The 17,476-nt window shown below is 42.6% G+C and overlaps 1 protein-coding gene across 5 annotated transcripts in view, besides 2 other annotated features; it reads left to right on the top strand.

Moving 5' to 3' along the window:
• Positions 1 to 17,476, top strand: part of ELOVL5 (ELOVL fatty acid elongase 5) — an 81,547-nt gene that overhangs the window by 43,004 nt on the left and 21,067 nt on the right. For 4 of the 5 annotated variants that reach the window (NM_001242830.2, NM_021814.5, NM_001242828.2 and 1 more), the window contains exons 2-3: positions 10,240 to 10,305; positions 13,984 to 14,171. In NM_001242830.2, the coding sequence (NP_001229759.1) occupies positions 10,248 to 10,305; positions 13,984 to 14,171 (246 nt within the window). In that variant the 5' untranslated portion in view covers positions 10,240 to 10,247. Of the gene's footprint in view, positions 1 to 10,239; positions 10,306 to 11,455; positions 11,860 to 13,983; positions 14,172 to 17,476 lie in introns of those variants that run through there. The other variant, NM_001242831.2, reaches the window with a different exon arrangement.
• Positions 1,053 to 1,576: an enhancer, noted in NCBI's record as "NANOG-H3K27ac hESC enhancer chr6:53169169-53169692 (GRCh37/hg19 assembly coordinates)". NCBI's record gives its function as "activates a minimal SCP1, AML or CMV promoter by ChIP-STARR-seq in naive H9 embryonic stem cells {active_cell/tissue: H9 hESC(naive)}" and the evidence as "EXISTENCE:reporter gene assay evidence [ECO:0000049][PMID:30033119]".
• Positions 4,565 to 4,614: an enhancer, noted in NCBI's record as "active region_24694". NCBI's record gives its function as "activates an Ori minimal core promoter by ATAC-STARR-seq in GM12878 lymphoblastoid cells {active_cell/tissue: GM12878}" and the evidence as "EXISTENCE:reporter gene assay evidence [ECO:0000049][PMID:35858748]".

Below are 17,476 nucleotides of genomic sequence, written 5' to 3'. Positions count from 1 at the left end.
TGCAGACGGAGTCTCGTTAACTCAGTGCTCAATGGTGCCCAGGCTGGAGTGCAGTGGCGTGATCTCGGCTCGCTACAACCTCCACCTCCCAGCCGCCTGCCTTGGCCCCACAAAGTGCGGAGATTGCAGCCTCTGCCCGGCCGCCACCCCGTCTGGGAAGTGAGGAGCGTCTCTGCCTGGCCGCCCATCATCTGGGATGTGAGGAGACCCTCTGCCTGGCTGCCCAGTCTGGAAAGTGAGGAGCGTCTCTGCCCGGCCGCCATCCTACCTGGGAAGTGAGGAGCGCCTCTTCCCGGCCGCCATCCCATCTAGGAAGTGAGGAGCGTCTCTGCCCGGCCGCCCATCGTCTGAGATGTGGGGAGCGCCTCGGCCCAGCCGCGACCCCGTCTGGGAGGTGAGGAGCGTCTCTGCCCGGCCGCCCCGTCTGAGAAGTGAGGAGACCCTCCGCCTGGCAACTGCCCCGTCTGAGAAGTGAGGAGCCCCTCCGCCCGGCTGCCACCCCGTCTGGGAAGTGAGGAGCGTCTCCGCCCGGCAGCCACCCCGCCCGGGAGGGAGGTGGGGGGGGGTCAGCCCCCGCCAGGCCAGCCGCCCCGTCCGGGAGGGAGGTGGGGGGGTCAGCCCCCTGCCCGGCCAGCCGCCCTGTCCGGGAGGTGAGGGGCGCCTCTGCCCGGCCGCCCCTACTGGGAAGTGAGGAGCCCCTCTGCCCAGCCAGCCGCCCCGTCCGGGAGGGAGGTGGGGGGTCAGCCCCGCGCCCAGCCAGCCGCCCCGTCCGGGAGGGAGGTGGGGGGGTCAGCCCCCTGCCCGGCGAGCCGCCCCGTCTGGGAGGGAGGTGGGGGGGTCAGCCCCCTGCCCAGCGAGCCGCCCCGTCCGGGAGGGAGGTGGGGGGGGTCAGCCCCCCGCCCGGCCAGCCGCCCCGTCCGGGAGGTGAGGGGCGCCTCTGCCTGGCCGCCCCTACTGGGAAGTGAGGAGCCCCTCTGCCCGGCCACCACCCCGTCTGGGAGGTGTACCCAACAGCTCATTGAGAACGGGCCATGATGACAATGGTGGTTTTGTGGAATAGAAAAGGGGGAAAGGTGGGGAAAAGATTGAGAAATCGGTTGGTTGCTGTGCTGTGTAGAAAGAAGTAGACATGGGAGATTTTTCATTTTGTTCTGTACTAAGAAAAATTCTTCTGCGTTGGGATCCTGTTGATCTGTGACCTTACCCCCAACCCTGTGCTCTCTGAAACATGTGCTGTGTCCACTCAGGGTTAAATGGATTAAGGGCGGTGCAAGATGTGCTTTGTTAAACAGATGCTTGAAGGCAGCATGCTCGTTGAGAGTCATCACCACTCCCCAGTCTCAAGTACCCAGGGACACAAACACTCTGCCTAGGAAAACCAGAGACCTTTGTTCACTTGTTTGCCTGCTGACCTTCCCTCCGCTGTTGTCCTATGACCCTGCCAAATCCCCCTCTGCGAGAAACACCCAAGAATGATCAATAAAATAAAATAAAATAAAATAAAATAAAAGAGGTGTGTGTGTTTGTGTGTGTACATGCATTTTTTGTTTCTGTTTTTGTTTTTTATGGGCTCACACTTTACAAAGTGTCTTTACTGATCATGTAGTAGAAGAGAAGAGAGCACCTCTGTTAGAGTTCCAGATAACTAGCACTGAGAAAGTTTTCCCCGAGGAAATGCCATCTGTAACTAGGATTTAGTCCGTGTTTTAGGATGCTGCCATTGTGGAGTCAGGTGTGCCATTTTCTTTTCTTTTTATTTTGTAATAACAGGTGTATCTCCTCATTTATAGTATCACCAATAGATAATTATTATACTCATAGGACAGATTGGAGTACTTGCCGTTAAAGAGTTTGGACTCTAAGGAGTTGCAGAGTTTGTTCCCATAATACCTGAACACAGAAGTATCTAGCTCATGTAAAAGTTGAAGTTGCTGTATACTAAATGAGTTGTCTAGACAGCAACAAGAGGGGCAGTGGAGTGGAAGTAGGCTTTGTAACACCTAATCTGGGCCTTGGAGAAAGGGTTGGAAATGAAGGCAAGAGGACAGGGAGGAAGGACCACAGATAACAGCCACTGGTGTGACTCTCCACTTGTTAGAAGGATGTTAGAAGGTGTTAGAAGGATGTCCTTCTCCAGCGATGGTTAAAAAGTGCTTTTTAATTAACTAGTAGCAGCCAAGGAGCAGGAAGTGGAGGCTTCTGTGTTGACCCTAAACGTATTTTTGTACAACAATTTGATTGTTGCAACATTTAAAAATTTCCCCTCCAATTATCCATTATACCGGAATGAGGTTGTTCTGCCTTCTTCAGCCGTGGAGCTAACCTGTGGCAGTGCTTTGTAGAATCTATCAGTGCCCCAGTTTTGCAGTTACTCATCTAAAACCCCAAATAGAGCTGTGTTTTTTGCCTTCGTGTATGATATATGGCAGGAAAAATGACTTTATCAGAGAATTACAAGAGTTTGTTACTTCCTTAGAATGGAGGTTAGAAAGTATAGGAATTCTGCAGGGGGAAGAAAGAGAATAAGCATAGATTCAGAGTGTTAGGATGACAGTACACAATCAGATGTACCACTGTTGGTGCGGTAGATATTTTTGAGCCAAGATTTAATCCAGAGTTATCATTTATTTAAATGCCAACACTTTAACATGAATTCTGTCGTCAAGTTACTTTCATTTCTAAAGCTTGTTAGTACTTGGATCTTCTTTCCTTTATGGTCTTCACGACATTTTGAATTTTAACATTCCTCAGCAAGGTGTGGTTTTATTTGGGAACTGATTTTCCCAACCTAGAAAAATCTTTTTAAATTCTAGAATCAGGGTTGTGACTACCAAATTAAAGCACCATTTAATTTTTCATTCTGTGTAACTGGCAGCCAACTTGAAGAATGTTCCCATGCCTGCCTAACGTTAACGAGTTGACTGATAAAAGTGATGGATGGGAATGAGAGAAGAGAAAATGCAAGGAAATCTCAGTCTGATTCCTTGCAGCACATGGGTTTGTAAACTCAGCTGACTCATTTTTAGGTGAACAATAACCGTTAAAAAAAAAGTAAAGCAGGATATGATGAAGTTAAGCTAGACAATAGCTAAACGTTTTTAAATCAAAAGGAATGTGACTTGACTGATACCACAGGAAAGGGAGCTTTCAAAGCAAGCTGACTGCTGCCTTAGAAGCCAGACAAACCAAGACTTGGCCCTAAAAATATCTTTACTGTTTTAGAGTCAGCAAACAGCCTGGTTGTGGGTTTAGGAAATAAACTTTTCTTTAATATAATTCTTATACCAACTCTTTACTATAATGTATATTTTTAAAAATCTTGATACCTTTTAAAACAGATTTGCCTTAAGATCCCAGTACTTTTCCTTTGCTGGGCAGCTTTGTCACTCTCTCCTACCCCAGGTAGAAATGGCCAAGATGCTTAATATTTGCACTCTCCTTGAGACGTACTTCATCTTGAGAATTGTGACTGTGCCTTCTCCTCATTAACCCCAACCACCTCCTTCCGTTGTTGCCACCTACCCCCATCCCCTCATGTTCTGTTGTCCTTGGGAGCCAAGTGGAAAGGAGGTGGAGGGGGACTGATTTGCTGTAAAGCTTATTGTAGTGTCTTTTTTCAAACATGCTTCTAGCAACTAGTTTGATTATTAGTTCAAAGTGAGCACTGATGTTGACTTAACCTCCCACACGTGATTCACCTGGGCATATACTTGCCCCTGGAGGGAGTTGAACAGTGGACAGATGGATTTTCCACATGAGCAGGACTCTCTTTAGGGCTTTGGGTTTTGTTCTTTGTTCTGCTCGTGTTAGTATTTCCAGGTTTTTGTATTCCAGGCTATGGTAGTTCCAGTCTTTCTCTCGAATTCAGGCCCAAGGATCCTAAAATTCTACAACACTTAGTATAGTACATGGGGAGGGAACTAGCCAGGAGCGCAGAACTGATCCATGGTGGTGGGGGTGAGTCAGACGAAGGTGTGCTGAACTCCCTCACACTCTCTTGCTCCTTTCAGCTGTATCTTTAAATATAGGGTAGTTTATAAAGAGAATGGTCAGCTCCAGTCAGTTTTTTGTAGTGAGATACTTAAAATGAGACACAATTATAATATAGTTGCATGGTTACCAAAAACACTCCAGAATCTTATAATGGGAAGCGGCTTTTTAAATTAGGAGTGTCTTTTGGAAAATGTGCGTTAAAAAGGAATTCTTTAAAATTGGTTCTAATTTACCTGCCCGTAATCCATTTTTACTGTCATTATTTTCTGTGTGTGGCTCTTGAACTAGTGAATAGCTTTGGAAGACTGTTTTCATTGGGACTTTTTTTCACTGGGCCCTGTTACTACTCCCTGTTGTAACCTGTAATTCTGGGAAGCCCCCTAGGTTGAGTGCAGGTCAGAGACTCCTGGTTAAAGAGGATGGGAATCGATGCTTTGGCTTGGTGTCAGCGTGGTCTTTTTCCTGGGAAGTGCTGGCCACTCCCAGCCCTGTCCATTTTCCTGTCAGTGTGTGGGGAACCAGCCAGATCAAAGAATAGCTTATTCTTTTGCTGCATGTAGGACTAAAGCTCCTTTTCCATGGAGCCTAGTGCCTGGGCTTGGTCCCTGCTAGTACAATTGTACAGAGCAGCTGTGTTCCCACTTGACCCAGCTCACCCAGGCTGCCTGTAGTGTGATTCGGGTTATTGAGAAGTTATGTCATTGGCCCACCGTAGCTCAGAAGATAGGAAACCGCACCAGTGAGGCCAACCACAGACCTGGCAGTGTGATTGGGCATCTTGTGCAAAGTAGGTCATGCCGTTCCCATAAATCCAGATTACTAGGCAAAGTGTCAAGACTTTTGCATAGCCCTGTGCCTCCCATTCCTTTAGTACAAAAGAGTATAGCTCAGCCCACAGACCACTCAGCAAGTGCCCAATTTACTTAACAGGGCAGGCCAGCCTAGCCTGGTGATGAAGAATTCATTTGCTGAGACCTTTGTACTGTTCATGTGGCATAGCAGATGAGGCTCAGCAAGGAAGATGGGAATGAAAAGGGCACGTTGCTGGCAGGAGGGCTGCAGGAAGGAGGGTTAGGAGATGGTAGCAGTGTGAGCAGATAAGGATTGGCACCCTCTTCTGTTCCTAGCCCGTTGGCCACAAGCTCTCTGAAAGGTCTCAAGAAAGCTCTCATGACTGACCTCTGTCTACTGCTGAGCAAGGCCTGGGCACCAGACGGAGTGGAGGACAGAAGGCCTCCCATTGTGCTGCCCACTCCTGTCATGGCTTCTGGTCCTTGTGCATGCCAGCCTAGCCCTGACCCCAGGGCCATTGTGCTCATTTGTGCCTCTAAATGGAACACCCACCCTTTCCCTTGGTAGATGTGTGGCTTGCTGTCACCATTCAGGCTCTGCTCTGTTGCCACCTTCTCAGGCTGCCTTCTCTATGTTTTCCAAAATAAATTCCCACTCCATGATTCCAGCCCCTTTATTCTGCTTTATTTTTTTTGCTAACAGTTATTTTGCATATCGTATTGTACGTGTGTTTCTGTCTGTAATTAATATATGTTTATGGTCTTTCTCACCAGCCTGCAATCCCAGGGCCTTCAGGTCTCCGTGCCTAGCATGTGGTAGGCACTCGGTGTGTGGTATGAATGAAAAATGAGTACATGGTATTGAGGGACACTAGTTATGGGGCTGCCTTGACAAACATGAGGTTGTATTGAGTAAATGATGAAGCTTTTGGTGAAGGTGTCTCTTAGTAACCTGTGCAGAAACAAACAGCCTTGCCTGAGAAGATTACAGTATATATCCAATTGTGGGTGTGGTAGGGGAGAGTTTGGGGGAAATACTGAACATGCCAGAGTCCAGCCCAAAATCAAGCTTGGGATCCACAGCTCAGGACTCTCCTGATTAGGGCCTGTTGTCCAGGGCCTACCTCTACCTGCCCCTTCTCCCTTTTCACTGTAGTCATTTCAGAAACAATAAGCAGGAACAATAATTTGAAAATTATTATCATTTCCCCACATGTATCTGTTCTTTTAGAGAATGTTTTGTTGGCTCTTTCAATATATTCCTAAGTTTGATTGTGAAAAGTTCTGCAAACCTAGGAGAAAAATTCTCAAGCCGAGAAGAAATGCAGTCTAAGAACAGATGTACCGTTTCTGACAAAAATCGTTTCTTGCGTGTGCTTTTGTAGAGAACACATTTCATTTTATAAAGATGAAAGAGTGCTCCTGTGCCTGCCAGCTTCCACAGGGCCTCTTCAAGATGGTTTAGACTCAGATTATTTGGGACAGATGGCTTGTAACAGGATTCTTCAATATCTCCAAATACTAAATTCCACAGTCTCTTTTGGTAGCCTGCTGCTGGTTCAGTACTCTTGGACTGAAATTTTACCTTATGTTTAATCAAGCTGCTTTTCTGTTGCCGTGATGTTAGCCTAGATTCTCAAATTGGACTATGTCCTAGGCATTTGTCCTTATAGTAATAGGTCATTTATCGCAATTACTGGGCTTCATATTTTTCCGGGGCCACTACTGTTACCCTCTCCATTCCTGCCCCACCAATCTGTATTTTCACTTTGAAACATTTCTTCACTCTTGTTTCCAGCTTCTTTATTTCCTCATTACATAGAAACTGACCCTGACTACAGCCCTCTGAAAGATCTAATTAAAAAGTGAAATGATTGATTCCCTTATTTTTGTTAGACATATTCCTCCTGTTTGATCTCAGAATACTTTTGTTTGAATTTTGTTACAGCATGGTTTTGAACATATATTCAGCTTATATTCATATCATCATTCTACTGTCTGCTCATTTGCAAACTGGATTTTGTTTTTGCTTTACTATATCTGGATCCTTTTCCCCATTATGAATGTCTCATTTTTTCTAGGTCACCAGGTATGCTCCTTTATGTTTATCCCTATTTTGGCAATCCTTTGTATTAATATACAGTAGGTGCTAGATATTTGTGTATTTAATTAGTACATTCCTTTTAGTTTTGTCTTTCATGTTTGGGTAATATCTGTTTCTGACAAGTTCCTCTCCTGATATATTATCAACTCCCCCCCCCCGCCTTGCCCCCACCTTCTCTTGCTGTCTCTCTAGGGGTGTGTTAGGGCTTACAAGTGGACATTGTGGGTTGTCAGAATGATTGGAGCTCACTGATGGCATTTAGTGGACAGGGACCAAGGACAATTAATGATCCACAATGCACAGGACATTGATTGTTTCCACTGTAATGCCAGCAGTGCCCCTGCCGAGAAGCAGAGACAGCCGTGGGTGGTTGACAGTATTCATCATGGAGCCAATCCTGTGGCAGACATACATTCAGAAACATCTATTGGGGGCTTCCTACATGCCAGACACTGCTCTAAGGGCCTTATTTATATTACCTTATTTAATCTTCTTAAAGGCAGTTACTTTGGTCTTTTCCCCGTTTTTCAGAAAGATTAAATAACTTGTCCAAGGTCACATTGCTAATAAGTGAAAAAAAATGGGGGGTTTCAAACCCTAGTTTCTTATAATCTAGCAAAAGTCCGTTCATGCTTAATACCTGATTATTGTACATTTAATGTGACCCATAAGTAAGTAAGTTAATATTACCCATTAGGTAATAGAATCTAGGTTTTAAAATGCCTTGGAGGAAGGTGTCTGTCCCCAGTGAGCAGCTTGTCCATCACTTATTCAATCCATTAGTCATAGCCTTTATGACCTTGTTCCTCCTTATTTCCTTTCATTTGGCTGTTTGGGATGCAGCCTAGTGGGGAGCAGGGAACCCTGTGACCTCCATATACATGGCCCACCATACATCATAGATGAAATTAAATTGTGTTAGTGTGATTTCAGTGTCACAAAATCATGATGGTTGTCTTTCAAAACTTGGATTTTCTAGATGATTTTCAGTAGATGTTGAAAAAATAGACACAGCCAAATTGTCTTTTAGCCAGTGCTCTTCCTGAACCCACCTTGGGCAGAACTTTTAATAGCCTTTAATAGATAAAACATTTCTTATTTAACTGTGTTTTAAAGAGGAATTCTCTTTACGAAACATAAGGCTAAACCTATTCTCTTCAGCACCAGGATTTTCTAGAATTTCTTGTCTCTCCTGAAGTGGTTCAATCTAGGGCAGGAAAGTGGCTTAGGACCAAAATTGCCTTTCTTAGGAATATAGTATATTAGTACCCCCTCATCGTCAGGGAGTACATTCTAAGGCCCCTAGAATGGAAGCCTAAATCTGCAGATAGTACCAAACACTATATTATATATAGTGGTTTTTTTTCCTATGCATACATACCTATAATAAAGTGTACTTTATAAATTAGGCAAAGTAAGATTAACAACAATAACTAATAATTAAATCGAACAATTAAGTAAAGTAAAAGTTATCTGAACATGAGCACTTCGATCCTGAGGCAGTTGATCTGATAACCCAGAAGGTTACAAAGTGACTCAAGGGTGAAGAAGTGTCTACGGTGAGGATACGCTGGACAAAGAGATGATTCCCATCCCAGGCAGGATGGAGTGGGACTGCGGGAGATTTTATCATGCTACTCAGAACTGTGTGCAATCTACAACTTATGAATTGTTTATTTCTGGAATTTCCCACCTCGTATTTTCAGACCATGGTTGATTTCAGGTAATTGAAATCTCAGAAAGCAAAACTGTGGATTAAGAGGGGACTACTGTATGTTAAAATCTTAATTGTTGGATTGCAGAAGTGACCTTGTGCTAAGGTTTTGTAACTATTGAGGGGCAAAGGTGGCTGACCTGGTTATTGGCAGATGGGTATGGGGAGCTGGTGCCTTCGGGGAGCTGGTGCCTTCAGGGAGCTGGTGCCTTCGTTTCCAGCCATGAATTGGTGTCAGCAGCCTCCCCAATCACCCTTGGGCAGGAAAGCTGTCAGGACAGAACCCTGTTAACTACTTTGAAAGTGTCATTGATGGCTCCTCCTATCTCTACGTCCCATCTCATCTGGATTGACTTAATTGTAACTACTACAACCATTAGATGATTTCGTGGATAAAGTAGTTTATCTTAAAATTAGCCAGTGAATACATAACGCTTCAGTGTGGCAAGCCAAGGAAGAGAAGTATTGCTAAATGATTAACAGCTTAGTTAATAAAATCAGTTCTGCCTTTGCCCTTGGACGTTATAATATTGATGATTATTCCTGTAAGAAGAATGGCCAGGAAAGTTGGAAAATCTAGTCAGTATGCATATGAAAAGTTGATTAGCTACCCTCTAAATGTAAATCTTAAATTGGGGAAGGTAGGGAGCTATAGAATCTTAGAAGATGGAGGTAAATCTTTAACTGGTATCTCAAGATGTTTTATTAAGTGAAAATAAGCAAGTAATATATACACACTTCTATATATAATAGTGTTTTTTTAGTTTTTTTTAACTGTGATCCCCACAGTAAGAATATATTTTACATCACAGCTAAGTACATTATACTTATAAATATGATATAATAAAACTAAAGTTTTATAAAACTATATTCATTCTCACTGAGAGCAAAGCATTCTGATTCTCTACTATGATCAATTATTATTTTTAATGCTAAGTTGACATGATCATCTACTAATGGTAGATTTCACCCACAATTGTGAAAACATCCATTTAGCATGACCTCTTTGTGCTCAAAAGAGGAGAAATCTCTGGAAGTATATTGAAGAAATGTTACCATTAGGTTCCTTGTGATGCGTGGCTTGGGGATTGAGGTTGAGGGAAGTAATGAGATTTTTGCCCCTTTTTTTTAATTTTTAATACTTGAATTTTTTTTTACTGTAGATATGAAGTACTGTAAAATAATAATTGATAAAAGTAACAAGCGGAAAAAACTGTCTTGTCACTGTGGCATTCTGTTCCCTGATATGGCTCTTCCTTGTCTTACCTCAAGTCCTCAGTTGTTGCCCAGACAGGATCTCTTCCTGTCTGCCACCTCTCATTCCAGTTAGTTCCACTTTTTTCCCCACTGAGATTTCAGCTTCACGGAAAGAGTTTTTATGGAACTAAGAAAAGAAGTTCAGAAAACTGGCACTTCATTTATAAAGTGAACTCACAGAATTGTGTCTTTCCTTTTGATCTTCAAGTTAGATCTAGCACAGAAGTCACTTCTGTGAATTAAATTCTTTTAACCTAAGGAACTGAACTTAACCTTGTCTGTAGCATATTCTTTGAAAAGAATTTATTCTTTTATGAAAAAATACTGTATAAAAAACATTTTGAGTAGAGATTAATCAGTATCTTTTTTTTTCTTAATAGGTTTTCAAATGGAACATTTTGATGCATCACTTAGTACCTATTTCAAGGCATTGCTAGGCCCTCGAGGTAAGGTGGTTTTTGGTTTTGCTTACCTTCTGCAGCATCACTCCCTGCCTATAGTCCCTTGTAAATATTGCATGAGGAGATAGTAGAAAATGTTAGCATTTTCTATGATAAGTCTAAAACTTTATCCTGGATAACAAGGAATTTGGAGAAGTCTCTGACAGAGACACCTGCTGTGGGTGGTCCTCCGTTGACTTTAACTGGAGTTTAAAAATATGCTGTAAAGCTTGTAGCCTGAGAATACTATAGATTTCACCATTATCAGTGGCATTTTTTTCTCAATTCTTGGCAGTCTTTAAGAAAAACTAGTTTCCAAAATGCAGTGTTGCAATAGGAGTTTAAAACCTTTCCCCTTTTACAATTTTAAGGGCTTTTTAAGGTCTTCTCATTTTGTATCATGTTAACTCACTGGTAAATATGCACCTGAACCTTACTTGCTGTATCTTTTAGAAAGTAAATCAGCTTCATATTGCCTTCTTTTGATGTCATCTGTAAAAGTCTTTTAAAGTCTTTTGTATAAAGAACTTCTTAGGCTCACAGAAAAACTAGAAATGGCTTTTAAACAGACAAAAAGAATCTCAGTTTCTCATGATTTTTAAAACACAAAAGAAATAACAAAAGGACTTAGTCTATTAACATGGCAGAGATGAAATAATAGGTTTCATGTCACCTATGATAATAGTGATAATAGTGAAGGCGTGGAGAAAGAGTACAACCTCTCTGAAAGGCTGTTTTGCCTTCTGTTGGAATTAAAATGCACATGCCCTTTTGCCTAGCCATTCTACTCCTAATACTTTATCCTGTGGCTAGCCTTGATTAGTTATGCAATGATACATATCAGGATGCTCATTACAGCATTGTTTTTCAAGGAATCATCTGGATGCCTGTCAGTAGGGGAGAGGTTCTGTAAATTAGTGTATGGCCCATTGAAAAGAACAAAAAAGAATAAGTTAGATCCATCTGTATGTGCTTGGGTTGGGATAGTGCCTTACTTTAGCTGTAAGGGACAAAAAATCCAACTCTAAATGGCTAAAATAATAATAATAATTATTAGCTTGCATTACCAGGTGGAGCAATTCCGTAGTTATTTCAGGGACTGTATGATGTAACCAAGGATCCTTGTTCTTGTCATTTTCTACTTTGCCACTTCCAGGTATCAGCAGCTCTGTCCTCAGAATGGGTCCCCCACTTCACACAGTTGTAGGATGGCTACAGCAGCTCCAAGCAGCACATTCAGAGGAAGAAGAAAAAATGTTTCATTTGTGTGGTTTTAAGCATAAAGAAGTTGTTTCCCAGAGCTCTTTGCCAGCTGTCATCCCTCAAAACTCACTGGCCACAATTGCTTCACATGCCCCTGCCTGAACCAGCCACCAGAGGGGGTTAGGACCACCACAGATTGACTAGATCCTAAGGATTCTCTACCTGGGGCTGGAGTTCGGGTCAGGTGCCCGGGAAGCACTGTGCGGTGTGGGAGGATGAATATGTGCCAATTTGGAAAGATGAGTATTTGTGGGAAAATGAATAAAGCAAAGTGTAAATCAGAGGTTTAAGTTAAAATAGGGAGATTTGTGTGTATTTATTGTTTGTGATATATATGTTCATACAAAATAACAGTCTGATGTTAGTTGCTAAGTGGGAACTGGTTTTCTTAAAATTGACAGCCAAGGCCCAAAGCTGAGAACAAAAGGTGTTAAGCATCCCCTTAAAGTCCCTGGGGCCAGCCATTTCCCTGAATGACTTCTAAGCACAACCAGTTCTGCCGGACTGACAGTAACACCCTCCGTGACCATAGCATAACTAGTGGGGAGGGTGTGGAGGGCATGTCCCTCTGAAGCCAAAGCAAGCCAGCCATGAGAGAAATGCTGGGAAAGTTTAGTGTGTACAGTGCAAGAAAGGAAGACTGACTGACAGTTCCCCACGTGGACATATGCTTTATTGAGCCTGTTCTTGTTCTGTGAAATCAAGGTGAAAACGACTGGAGAGAGTAGCAAGATGGTCCAGTCTGGGAGGGGTCAAAGAAAGGGCAGAGCCGGGTGTGGTGGTTCACTCCTGTAATCCCAGTACTTTGGGAGGCCAAGGCAGGTGGGTCCCCTGAGGTCAGGAGTTCCAGACCAGCCTGACCAATATGGTGAAACCTGGTCTCTACTAAAATTACAAAAATTAGCGGGGTGTGGTGGTGTGTGTCTATAGTCCCAGCTACTCTGGAGGCTAAGGCAGGAGAATCGCTTGGACCCTAGAGGCAGAGGTTGCAGTGAGCTGAGATCACGCCACTGCACTTCAGCCTGGGCGACAGAGTGAGACTCCGTCTCAGAATAAATAAATAAATGAATAATAAAAAAATTAAAGAAATGGCAAAGGCTGTCCTCCCAACTGCTGCTTCTCTGAAGACGCAGTAGGTGAATGCTGCATGTGCCTCATGTTCTGGAGTTGTGAGCCTTGGCGGGTAGTTAAGATTGAGGAGCCACAGGTTTTCGGGGAACATCATAGCAGGGTTCAAAGGGGAGCATGCTTTTCAGAGGTAGCTTCCTGGGGTCAGCCAGAGTATGAAGCTGAATCTTTCAGGGGACACATAACACTTAGGGGCTCTGGCTGCCAAGGAGTTTCCCGCCATCCAAGAAGAGGTTGTCAGTTTGCTGCTGGCGGCTGACCTGTTTCCCTCTCCCTCCTCCCTGCCTAAGAAAAGGAATAGGGGCAGGAGAGGCCCTTCCTATACCAGTATCTCCTCTGGATCCGCCTAGGTCTTCGCTCTCATGCTACTACTCCTCAGTTTGTTAAATACTGCCCTTTAAATAGGCATTTATCTGATCATTGCTGCTTCACCTTCATGTTTTGTTTTGTTTTTATTTTCATTTTTGAGACGGAGTCTCACTCTGTTGCCCACGCTGGGGTGCAGTGGTACGATCTCAGCTCACTGCAGCCTCTTCCTCCCAATTTCAAGCGATTCTCCCACCTCAGCCTCCCAAGTAGCTGGGATTACAGGTGTGCAGCACCATGCCTGGCCAATTTTTATATTTTTAGTAGAGATAGTGTTTTGCCATGTTGGCCAGGCTGGTCTTGAACTCCTGACTTCAGGTGATCCACCCGCCTTGGCATCCCAAAGTGCTGGGATTACAGGCATGAGCCACCACACCCAGCCCTTGTTTTGTTTTTAAATCATTGTCCTCTCTGCTGTTGACCATTACACTCATAGCAAAGGCTGCCTTTCTAATTAGTGCCAGTTTCACTAACGTGGCTAAGCAGCACGTTTTCTGAGTCTGCATGTGCTGGCCACACTTGCCGACTGACACACAGCTGAGATGGAGGACTTCAGAGTTCAATGACTGCCATTTCTTGGGTTTTATCACCCTATGTGTAATCTGGTATACCTGGTTAATAAATCCAATTAATGGGAAGTGTAGCCTTCTCCTTGTTTTCTTCTTAAGTTCTTTGGAAAGAATATTTGTATTATTATTTTACTGAGCAAAAATCATGAATAATACATTGTTATTCAGAGCATGTAACAAGGAGCTTCACCTTGTTTGATATGTATTGAAAATCCATGCCTCCTCTCCTGATTGCTTTATTGGAATTAAGAACATGAATACCAGGTGACTTTTATATCATCATGGTTAGAGAAATTTTTTCAACGTTTGAAAAGTTGTGAATGTTTTTATATATCATTAATTTTTTTTAATTTTTCAGATACTAGAGTAAAAGGATGGTTTCTTCTGGACAATTATATACCCACATTTATCTGCTCTGTCATATATTTACTAATTGTATGGCTGGGACCAAAATACATGAGGAATAAACAGCCATTCTCTTGCCGGGGGATTTTAGTGGTGTATAACCTTGGACTCACACTGCTGTCTCTGTATATGTTCTGTGAGGTAAGTCAAAGGTTAACACAGTCTTCCTTTCACATAAATGCACTCATATTGCTGTCCTAAATTGTATTCCTAAATGAGGAAAGGTGGCCGCTTGGGGTGTAGAGACAACTGGGCAAGCAAGTATCTTAATGCGTTATGAGTGTGTTTTAAAATCGATTTTTCAAAATGTCAGAGTTGTTTGTACAAGTATGCCTTCTAGAATATCTAAAATAGAAGCCTTTGTTATTGATTCTTCTATTATGTTTCGTATGATATTCAAAATTAAAGTATTTTCAGAAATACTCTCATGCAAGCAAAATACAGAGTGGAAAATGAACAAAATGTGAAAAACACATGTGAAAGCATTTTATTATTAAGCATCTAATAAGTGCCTGCTTCTTGTTTGAAGGTAGGGGAGGAAGGAAGTGGGTGGCACTTGTGTTTGGTATGTTTTGTGGCACATCACCCTCTCTGATTGGATAACTTGTCAAATCTCAGTTGTTTTTTAAAAGCTAAGAGGAGTGTGACTGGTGAGATCTGCATTTAGGTTTTGAATTGTCTGTCTGAGTTCAGGCCCAGTTATTTTATATCACTGCAATGTTGAAAATCACATTTGATGATCTCAAAGGCAAATGTTATAGCTTAAAAATGAAAGAAAAATCAGAATCAACCCTTCTCTTCTCCCTATTTTGAAGGGGTAACACTATAGCCTTTAAAGCTAAAAGGGGGAGGAAAGCTTCCCTCTGGTGGTAAGCAGTTTGTGTACATTTTTCCAGGAAAGCCTACCCACTTTTCATTCTTACAGCACCAACCTATTTCTAACTCTTCTGGAGAATTAAGCCCTGGATAAAACCTATACAGGCACTCCTGTATAGGTTTTCAGGGTTTCATTTTGGTTTTAGTTCTTCAAGGAGTAGTAAAGAAGAAGGTAGAGGTGGGAGGAAGAGGAGAGATAGAAACATGAATCTTAAAATTAGTGTTCAGGGGTCAAAATGAATTCTCCATCAGCCTCAGGCCATGATGGTGTCTCCCTGTCTACGTGTGGTGGTGTGCAGGAGTGTGGGCGTGTGCAGGCATATTTGATTATCAGAGGTGTTGCAGCTGTGGGATATCTGTGTCTTGTTCTCCCATGTATGTTTCATAAGCCAAGGTACAGATATTCTGAATAGAATGGTAGATGTTCCTAGCATTACTTTTATGCTTGACATGCCAAGAAATGCTTACAACTCCTTTTTTTGCTTTTTTTTCTGTCCTATTCTAGAATGAAGTCAGTTTAATTAGACTCCAAGATGGAGAGTTCAGGACTGGAGCCAGGGGAAGTGCACAGGAGTGACTCCTGGCCCCAGCACTATGCACATTTCTGTGTTCAAGGGACAAAACCACAGCAAGCTGTCAGGTTTCTGAGTGAACTGCTTACTTTTCCATAATTGATAGATAATACAGCCATGTCTTTAAGAGAACTCTTACAGAGTTTATTATTATACATGGCAATATTAATAGAGAAAAATATTTCATGTGATTTTTAGAGAACTTAAGCATTTGCCTTAAATGTTTCTTAAGCCCTAGAAATATAGCTATAATTTCATTATTTATCCTCTCTTAAACAGATGATTCCCTGGTAAAGAGAAGAAAAACACTGTATAAAGTACAGCTGTGTGCATCTGAGTGGATGTGGGGGGTTCTGAACACATTGTAATAGAAGGTACAGATTTTCCTCTGATAGCTTGGTGAGAAGAGAAGACTTTGAGCAGTGACTAAGCACTGAATACAGAAATTTAAGAAATATACAGAATAGGGAAACTACATTTTTAACTCACAGTTTAGAGTACATAGAGAGGTAATAGACAAAGAGGCAATGTTTCCTTAAATTAAATCAAGTTTACAAAAAGCTATCCAGGTCAGATATACCCAAGTTGAAAATAAGCCCTAGTGCTCCAAGTTGATGGTATTCACATTTGGTTTTTGTCCGAGTTTTCTCCTGTACATATTGTAAAACCCATCAATAATTCCATTGTCATGTGTCCTTTTTCAAACTTCAAATATCATTTTAGCTACACGTTTTTCTGTTTGTTTGTTTTGAGACAGTTTCACTCTTGTCGCCCAGGCTGGAGTGCAGTGGCGCCATCTCGGCTCACTGCAACCTCCGCTTCCCAGGTTCAAGCGATTCTCTTGCCTCAGCCTCCCTAGTAGCTGGAACTACAGGCATGTGCCACCACTCCTGTCTAATTTTTTGTATTTTTAGTAGAGACAGGGTTTCACCATGTTGGCCAGGCTGGTCTTGAACTCCTGACCTCAGGTGATCCACCCGCCTCGGCCTCCCAAAGTGCAGGGATTACAGGCGTGAGCCACCGCACCCGGCCATTTTTCTTTTTATACTTAGCATTTCTACTCCATTGAATGCTAAGACACAGAAGAGCAGTCATGGAGTTTTACAATGGAACGAACTGAGGAGATCATGAAGCCCCATGGGGCCCCTCATTTTAGAGAAATGTCCCAGGAGTTAGAGCCATTCTTCTGTGGTCACACACCTGTAATGGTCATTATTTTAGTTTTTATTTACCTTCCTGCTTATCTGCATATTTGGGGCTGTAAAGAATTTTTTAAATAAGTAGTCTTTGGTATTTTTGTTTATTTAATTCTGTGGCATAAATTCACAGCTGCTTTAGCAAGTTCTAGATTAATAAAAATAAAATTAACTGTCACTTAAAGGAGACAGGAAGAAGCGGGGTTTTTTTGTTTGTTTGAGACAGAGTCTCACTCTGTTGCCCAGGCTGGAGTGCAGTGGTGCTCACTGCTTCTCGCCTCCTGGGCTCAACTGATCTCCCGCCTCAACCTCCCAAGTGGCTGGGACTACAGGAGCATGCCACCACGTCTAGCTAAGTTTTGTATTTTTCGTAAAGACAAGGTTTCATCATGTTGTCCAGGCTAGTCTTGAACTCTTAGGCTCAAGCAATCCACCCACCTCTGCCTCCCAAAGTGCTGAGATTACAGACATGAGCCACTACATCTGGCCAATAGGAAGAAGTCTTGAAAGAAGGGAGATGATCAGAAGGAAATGAAAGGAAGTCACTGAAACTTTAAATTTACTAGAAGGAAAATAACTAAATCCCAGTTTTAAAACTGTGAAACCGAGTTTAAAATGTAGAAGGAATATAGACTTGCTCATAGTTTGTGTACTTGGTAGAAACAAAATTAAAAGGAGAGAAGAGGTATTACTTCTATATCTCATTAACTTTAGTGTTTATTTCCAGGAAAAAGGTCATAGATCCCTGATTTGGAGCATATTTGAATTAGTGGTATGTTTTAATTTGAAAGTATTGGACTTT

Source organism: Homo sapiens, chromosome 6, assembly GCF_000001405.40.
Source record: "Homo sapiens chromosome 6, GRCh38.p14 Primary Assembly".
Lineage (NCBI taxonomy): Eukaryota > Metazoa > Chordata > Mammalia > Primates > Hominidae > Homo > Homo sapiens.
The sequence above is the reverse complement of the archived record's forward strand: the minus strand, read 5'-3'. Positions and strand labels throughout refer to the sequence as shown.